The sequence below is a fragment of the Homo sapiens genome, chromosome 12 (genome assembly GCF_000001405.40).
Source record: "Homo sapiens chromosome 12, GRCh38.p14 Primary Assembly".
Classification (NCBI taxonomy): Eukaryota; Metazoa; Chordata; class Mammalia; order Primates; family Hominidae; genus Homo; species Homo sapiens.
The window spans coordinates 31,617,693-31,626,274 of NC_000012.12; positions in this window are offsets into that span (position 1 = coordinate 31,617,693).

Below are 8,582 nucleotides of genomic sequence, written 5' to 3' on the forward strand. Positions count from 1 at the left end.
ACCTGGGGCTTGCAATTGCATTGGAAGTGGGACTGAGTCCTCAACCTATGGCATCTGACACTACCCAAGTAGATAGTATGAGAATCGGATTGAATTAGAGGACCTGCCCCCCCCACCCCCTGCTGCCACCACCACCACCCAGCTAGTGTCCATTGCAGAATTTTTCTTAGACAGGGTCTTGCTCTGTCACCCAGGCTGGAGTGCAGTGGCATGATCAAGGCTTACTGCAGCCTATCAACCTCTCAGGCTCAAGAGGTAATCCCACCTCAGCATCCCTAGCTGGGACCATAGGTGCACCCCCTTGCCCTTCCCCCTAATTTTTTTTATTTCTTGCTGGTGGAGAGAAACTCCCACACATTTGGTCACAGAAGTCTTCTGTGAGACTGGTGTGAGAGCAGAGGAAAAACTGTTTTTTCTACTCAATGGGTTATTGATAACTAAATTAGTTAATGTCTGTAAAGTACAGGATAATGCCACCGAGTAACTACTAGGTAAGCATTTATTAAATGAAACACCAATTTCAGGTTAAAAAAGAAACCTGAAATGTTGATTCTGTTGAATAAAAAGTATAGGAGGTTGTTTTTTTGGATTAAGTTTCTGTACTATGCTCCAACAGACAAAACCAAAAATCAAAATGGAGTCACCCATGCTAAAGTTCTGTCACCAAACTTCAATAAGTTGTTATCTGATCTTCAGAGTGAGACCAGTGGGCTGGGGGAAGTTCCCAAACACTGATGAAACCCTGACCCAGGCCAGTGTGCAGGTTCTTGATACCATGATGAGAAGGAATTCAAGGATGAGTCAGAAAATCGTGAAAGTACGGAGATTTATTGCAAAGTAAAAATACACACTCAAGAAAGGGGAGCATGGGCATACTCATGAGAGAGCTGCACAAAGGGGCTTGGGGTTTCTTATATGGGTTTCTTTACCCAAGGGGTGGACTATTCATGAAGATTCCTGGAAAAAGGTGAAGATTTCTCAGAACTGTGATGCTGCCCATTTTAACACCAAATACAGTGTTCTTGTCACAGTGTAGGTGGGTGTGCGATTTGTTTATTAATGGGTGAATAATGAGGTCCTAGGAGAAACCTAGGTCAAATCCTGCTCTCTGTTGGGTCCAGTTGGTTTTAGCCAGCTTGGCCCACATCCTGTTTTTCATGGTCTTATCAGTCCCCAGTTTATGGAGCTATTTCAACAGTTTCATTTTGCTAGGCATGTGAAACTGCTGCCTGGAATTTTCTGTTCTCTTGCAACCACCCTGTATTATTCCTGTCTCAAGAGAAAGCAGGAGAGAGAGATAGCCAAATTCCCAAACAGGTCACTTAATCTTCAAGAGTCACGATAATGAGTTTCCCTCTGCTTTAATCCTTTCACACACAGAAAAAGTAGCCCCAAGAAGCCTGATGTTAACTAATCAGTTATTTTTCTGTTGTTCTATCTCCTTGTCTCATCTTACAAGAAAAGTCACTTTGAAACAATGGACATAATCTTTGCTTCTTCTTTTTTTTTTTTTTTTCCTGAGACAGAGGCTCGCTCTGTCGTCCAGGCAGGAGTACAGTGGTGCCATCTCAGTTCACTGCAACCTCCACCTCATGGGCTGGTCCACCATGATCCTCCCACCTCAGCTTCCCGGGTAGCTGGGATTACAGGCATGGGCCACCACACCCGGCTAATTTTTGTATTTTTTAGTAGAGATGGAGTTTCAGCATGTTGCCCAGGCTGATCTTGAACTCGTGACCTCAAGTGATCCACCCTTCTGGGCCTCCTAAAGTGCTGGGATTACAGGTGTGAGCCACTGCACCCAGCCTGCTTCTTTCTTCATTCCTTCTTGCTCTGTGAAGCCAATGCCTTCTGCTCAGCTCATGATTCTGTTTTGTGGAACAAAGTGTTACCTGTTTCTAGAATTGCAAATAAAGCCAATTGAGATTTTTTTTTTTTTTTTTTTTTTGGCAGAGTCACACTCTGTTGCCCAGGCTATAGTGTAGTGGTGAGATCTCAGCTCACTGCAACCTCCAACTCCTGGGTTCAAGGGATTCTTCCACCTCAGCCTGCCAAGTAGCTAGAACTACAGGTGCACACCACCATGCCCGGCTAATTTTTGTATTTTTAGTAGAGACAGGATTTCACCATGTTGGCCAGGCTGGTATTGAACTCCTAACCTCAAGTGATTTACCCGCCTCAGCCTCCCAAAGTGCTGGGATTACAGGCATGAGCCACCGCACCCAGCCCAACTGAGATATTTAAACTAAACTTGTTGTAACTTTGTCTTTTGACAAGTCTAAGAATATCAGTAATTTTTTTGGCAACCAGTAGATAGCCCCTTCCCTTTTTTTAACTTCCCAAAAGGCAATTGAACCAAATCAAAATAATTTACCAAGATGTAATCTAAACACTTCCCTCATTCAGGTTTTCCCCAGTTATTAACTATGTTAACATAATTAGTGGCTATGCCAACTCATGATATGTTCTTTTTTTAAAAAAACATTTCTGTAGCCAGGCATGGTGGCAGATGCCTGTAATCCCAGCTACTCAGGAGTCTGAGGCAGGAGAATCGCTTGAACCTGGGAGGCGGAGGTTGTAGTGAGCCGAGATCATGCCACTTCACTCCAGCCTGGGCAACAAAGCAAGACTTTGCCTCAAAAAAAAAAAATTGTTTTTGCAATTATTTAATCAGACTTTCTTAAGACTTTGACCTTTATGCACTTTTACCTTCCTTAATAACTCTTCAAAAGAGGCCTTGAAAAAAATGCAATGACTAGCAAGTTATGGGAGTACTGGAATGCAATGACTGTTCAAAGGTTGGTTTCACCCATAGCCATGAGTGTCATAGTCCCAGGAAGATGGGTTGAATTCAGGGCCACTCTAGGAATTTTGCTTGCGGTTTCATAAGCATAGACTATTCCAGACTCCACATCCTTTTTACCTACAATGAGTCCCAAGGCAAACAGAACACTGTGAAGTGGGAGACCAGAATTAATCTAGTTCTCGTCAGAGTATTCTAGGATAAATTCCCAGGCCAAATTACCACTGACAATTTTAGAAACCCTGGATTGGATAAATTCATTATGATAAAGATTAAAATATCACCTTATGTTTATGTGTCGTGGGAGCTTTTTTTTTTTTTTTTTTTTTTTGGGACGGAGTCTCGTTCTGTCGCCCAGGCGGGAGTGCTGTGGCGCGATCTCCGCTCACTGCAAGCTCCGCCTTCCGGGTTCACGCCGTTCTCCTGCCTCAGCCTCCCGAGTAGCTGGGACTACAGGCGCCCGCCACTGCGCCCGGCTAATTTTTTGTATTTTTAGTAGAGACGGGGTTTCACCGTGGTCTCGATCTCCTGACCTCGTGATCCGCCCGCCTCGGCCTCCCAAAGTGCTGGGATTACAGGCGTGAGCCACCGCGCCCGGCCGTCGTGGGAGCTTTTTAAAGGGTTTTCAGTCTTATGAATAGTCTCAGCAATATTGAAAGACTAATATATTAATAGTAATTATTGCTTCATGTTAATCAGCATTCCAAAGATAAGGGGTCAAAACAGGTTATTAATTATAAATATCTGTGGCTCCTCTGGCCTGGAAGTTTCTCTGAATCTGAGTGAATTAGAGTGTAATGAGTGTCCCCTTTGCCTTCCCTGCACTTAGTACATGTACCTACCAAGTATTGAGCACTGACCATTAAAATTGTAATTCTCTTCTTTTCTTCTCATTTTTATTTTTTGTGATGCTATAACAATAAAGAAGAAAATCTAAGGCTTACATAATCTTACCACCTCAATGCAATTATCTCCATTTCCACTGATTTCCTTCCAGACTTTGTCCAGATGCATACAGGCTTTTACATAATTATCATCACAGTGTATGTGCTTCTTAATTTTACTTTTTCTCCATTTATACCAACTTTCATTCAAATTGTTTCATAATCATCTTAATTACTACAGCTTCATATTCCTGTTAGTTGGTATGTGATAATTTACTTAGCTATTTATCTATCAGGAGACATGTAGGTTTTTTCCAAATTTTTTCCCTACTAAAGTTGAGACGAACTTTTCTGTTCTTATATATTCCTTGGATTATTTCTACGTAATACATTTATAAGGATATGATTATAGGTTGTGGCCAGGCACGGTGGCTCACACCTGTAATTTCAGCACTTTGGGAGGCCGAGGCGGGTGGATCACCTGAGGTCAGGAGTTCGAGACCAGCCTGGCCAACATAGCAAAACCTTGTCTCTACTAAAAATACAAAAATTAGCTGGGGGTGGTGGCGCATGCCTGTAGTCCCAACTACTTGGGAAGCTAAGGCAGGAGAATTGCTTGAACCTGGGAGGCAGAGGTTGCAGTGAGCTGAGATCGCACCACTGCACTCCAGCCTGGGCAACAGAGCGAGACCCTGTCTCAAAAAAATAAATAAATTATAGCTTGTGGCAGATTGTATGTTCCAAAAGCAGCCACAATATCCTCCTGATCCTAGTGCTCTTCTGCAATGTGATCTTGTCACTCTCCTTTGAACCTGGGCCCTGTGACTGCTTTGACCAATAGAATATGGTAATAGTGACATTGCGCTTTTTCAGGTGCAGCCCTTGTTTGGCCTGGTAACATCTACTTCCCACTTCGGCGAAGTGCAACTATTCTGAGAGCCCCCATGCTATGAGAAGTCCAAGCCACATGAAGGGGCCCTAGGGGCTCCAGTGCTAGGTATAGAACAAGAAAAGCTCCAGAGCATTTGAGAGACTGTGAGGAAAGACACCACCTGGGAAGTGCATGTTCCAGATCTCATTACCCGACAGAAAGCCAGGCAGACAAACTGTCTAGCAGAGCCCTTCCCAAATTTCATACTCACAAAACTGCATGCAAAATAAATGGTTATATAGGTTGAACATCCTTAATCTGAAAATTCAAAATCGTAAATGTTCCAGAATCCAAAACTTTTTTGAGTATTAACATGATGCCACAAGAGAAAAATTCCACACATGACCTCATGTGATGAGTTGAAGTCAAAACAAAGGCTGACAGCACACAGTTTACTTAGCATTCTCAGAGGAAAAAAGACCCTCCCAGTCCTCTTCAGCTGTGATATCTTTTCTGCATCTGTTCAGATTCCTTCGTGCAAGCGCATCCACAAAGCATAATAAAATAAAAACTTTGTTTCATATACAAAATTATTTAAGATATTGTATGGGCTGGGCGCAGTGGCTTACACCTGTAATCTCAGCACTCTGGGGGGCTGAAGTGGGCAGATAGCTTGAGCCCAGGAGTTCGAGACCAGCCTGGGCAATACAGCAAAACCCTGTCTCTACCAAAACAATAATAATAATAATACAAAAATTTGGCTGGGCACAGTGGTTCACACCTGTAACCCCAGCACTTTGGGAGGCTGCAGTGGGTGAATCATCTGAGGCCAGGAGTTCGAGACCAGCCTGGCCAACATGGTGAAACCCCATCTCTACTGAAAAAACAAAAATGAGCTGGGCATAGTGCTATGCACCTTAATCCCAGCTACTCGAGAAGCTGAGGCACGAGAATGGCTTGAATCTGGGAGGTGGAGTTTTCAGTGAGCTGAGATGGCACCACTGCACTCCAGCCTGGGCAACAGAGTGGCACCCTGTCTCAATTAAAGAAAAAAATACAAAAATTAGCTGGGCAGGATGGCATGGGTCTTTAGTCCCGGCTACTTGGGAGGCCGAGGTGGGAGGATCACTCAAACCTGGGAAGTTGAGGTTGCAGTGAGCTGAGATCACACCCTTATACTCCAACTGGAGTGACAGAGCAAGAACCTGTCTCAAAATAAATAAATAAATGATTAAAAATAAAATATTATATAAAACCACCTTCGGTCTATGTGCATAAGGTATATATGAAACATAAATGAATTTCATATTTAGACCTGGGCTCCATTCCCAACAGATCTCCTTATGTATATGCAAATATTCCAAAATCTGAAACAGTTCTGGTCCCAAACATTTTGCATTAAGGATACTCAACTTGTATTAAGCCGTCAAGTCTGTCAGTAGTTACCTAATATAAAGGTACTTGAAACACAGGTCAAAAGATAAATTTTCTTTTCCCACACACTGGCAAGAGTTTCTAATAGATTGATCCTGTTTATACAATTTGCAGTGCCCTTAAAGAGTCTGTGCTTTTCAGGGTGCAAGCCTTAGAAGACTGTTCTCTGCCCTGAGTCTGAGTTTCTTCATTTAAGGTGCCATAGTGTCCAGCTTTTTAGAGGGCATTTAAATTTTGCCTCTTTTCTGAGTAGGTAACCCCTTACTCTGGAAGTCCTCCACTAATTTTCTTATCTTCACCAGCTCTAGTTTTCTTCCTTCTTGTTCTCCCTAATTCTCTCTCATCTTCTGCTCTGCTCATCTTCAAACAAAAGTAAATGCTACTCAGCTGGGTACAGCGGCTCATGCCTGTAATCCCAGCACTTTGGGAGGCCAAGGCAGGCAGATCAATTGAGGTCAGGAGTTCGAGACCAGCCTGTCCAACATGGTGAAACCCCGCCTCTACTATAAATACAAAAAAATGAGCCAGGTGTGGTGACAGACCCCTGTAATCCCAGCTGTTCAGGAGGCTGTGGCAGGAGAATCGCTTGAACCTGGGAGGCGGAGGTTGCAGTGAGCCAAGGTCGCACCACTGCACTCCAGCCTGGGTAACAGAGCGAGACTCCATCTCAAAATAAATAAATAAAATAATACCTACTGGTGGGAATGGTTATTCATGCCTGTAATCCAGCTTTTTGGGAGGCAGAGGCAGGGGGATCGCTTGGGCCCAAGAGTTCGAGTGAGCTATGATTGCGCCACTGCACTCCAGCCTGAGCAACAGAATAAGACCCCATGTCAAATAAACAAACAAAAACTGCCACAAAGATTATAAAATAATAATCACAATCACAGTAATACCTACCATTTATCTACCTTAATTTTTTTTTCTTTGAGACAGAGTTTCGCTCCTGTTGCCCAGGCTGGAGTGCAATGGCAAGATCTCGGCTCACTGTAACTTCCGCCTCCCAGGTTCAAGTGATTTTCCTGCCTCAGCCTCCCAAACAGCTGGGATTACAGGCGCCCACCACCACGCCCTGCTAATTTTTGTAGTTTTAATAGAGATAGGGTTTCACCATGTTGGCCAGGCTGGTTTTGAACTCCTGACCTCAGGTGATCCACCTGCCTCAGCCTCCCAAAGTGCTGGGATTACAGGCATGAGCCACCGAGCCTGGCCTCTCTACCTTAAATTTAAACACATGAAGTTTTTTTTAACTCACTTGGCGAAAGGAACCAGGAAGGAAGCTGAAATATCTGTGTATAACTTAATGGTACATTAAGATAAAAGCTTGATTCACTAATTCATTCAAAAAAACTTTTTGAGGCCGGGCATGGTGGCTCAAGCCTATAATCCCAGCACTTTGGGAGGCAGGAGGATGGCTTGAGGCCAGAAGTTGGAAATAAGCCTGGGCAACAGAGTCAGACCCCATCTCTACAAAAAAGCAGACAACAACAACAAAAACAAAAACCTTTTGAACACCTATTATGGGTTAAGCATACTGATTCTCTCAGGTAGGACTCTGAGTATGCAGTATAGAAAACTAGCTCAAATTGGATTAAGGCAAATGGGAATTTATTGGCTCGTGGAATGGAGGACCAGTTTCAGGAGAGGCCTAACTCAGGGCTCAACAATGTGAAGGGGAAATGGATTTTTCTGTTTCTTGGCTGACTGCTCTTCTCTGTGTGCTGGTTTCTTTCTCAGGCTCCGAGCAGTTGGTCGAAGTAGCAGCTCTCGACTCAGCCTCTGAGGCTCAAGTTCAATGAGAGGGAGCGAGAGAGAAATCGTTCTAGGGAGCTGCAGCAAGACCTAGGATCCAACGAGTGGACCATCTTAGATGGCCCCATTTCTGAGGTGCCCATTTCTGAACCAGTCCCAGTGGCCAGGGGTATAAGCATGTTCTGATTGGCTTAGGCTTGGACACATGTTCCACCTCTAGAGCTGAGTTGGCTTTATCTGGAGTACAGGGACTGAAAGTGGGGAACAGAAGTCTCCCCAGAGCAAAATAGGAGTACTCTAAGATGTGGTTGCAAATCAGCACACCCCACCTATCTCTGTTTGACTACTATTTATGCGTTCTCAGCAGACATAAATGTGTTAAGAGTAGTAGATCGGCCGGGTGCAGTGGCTCACGCCTGTAATCCCAGCACTTTGGGAGGCCGAGGCAGGTGGATCACCTGAGGTCAGGAGTTCAAGACCAGCCTGACCAATGTGGTGAAACCCTGTCTCTACTAAAAATACAAAAATTAGCCGGGCAATGTGGCATGGACTTGTAATCCCAGCTACTCTGGAGGCTGAGGCAAGAGAATTGCTTGAAACCGGGAGGCAGAGGTTGCAGTGAGCCCAGATCATGCCATTGCACTCCAGCCCAGACGACAGAGCAACCCTCCGTCTCAAAAAAAAAAAAGGTAGATCACAACCTTCTTTGACTAATACTCTATCCACACCCACTCCCCTATTTAACCAGTGTGTCCCCTCTAAGAATCTTTATCCTCATGGTTCACATGGTGTATTAGTCTGTTCTCACGCTGCTAATAAAGACATACCCGAGACCGGG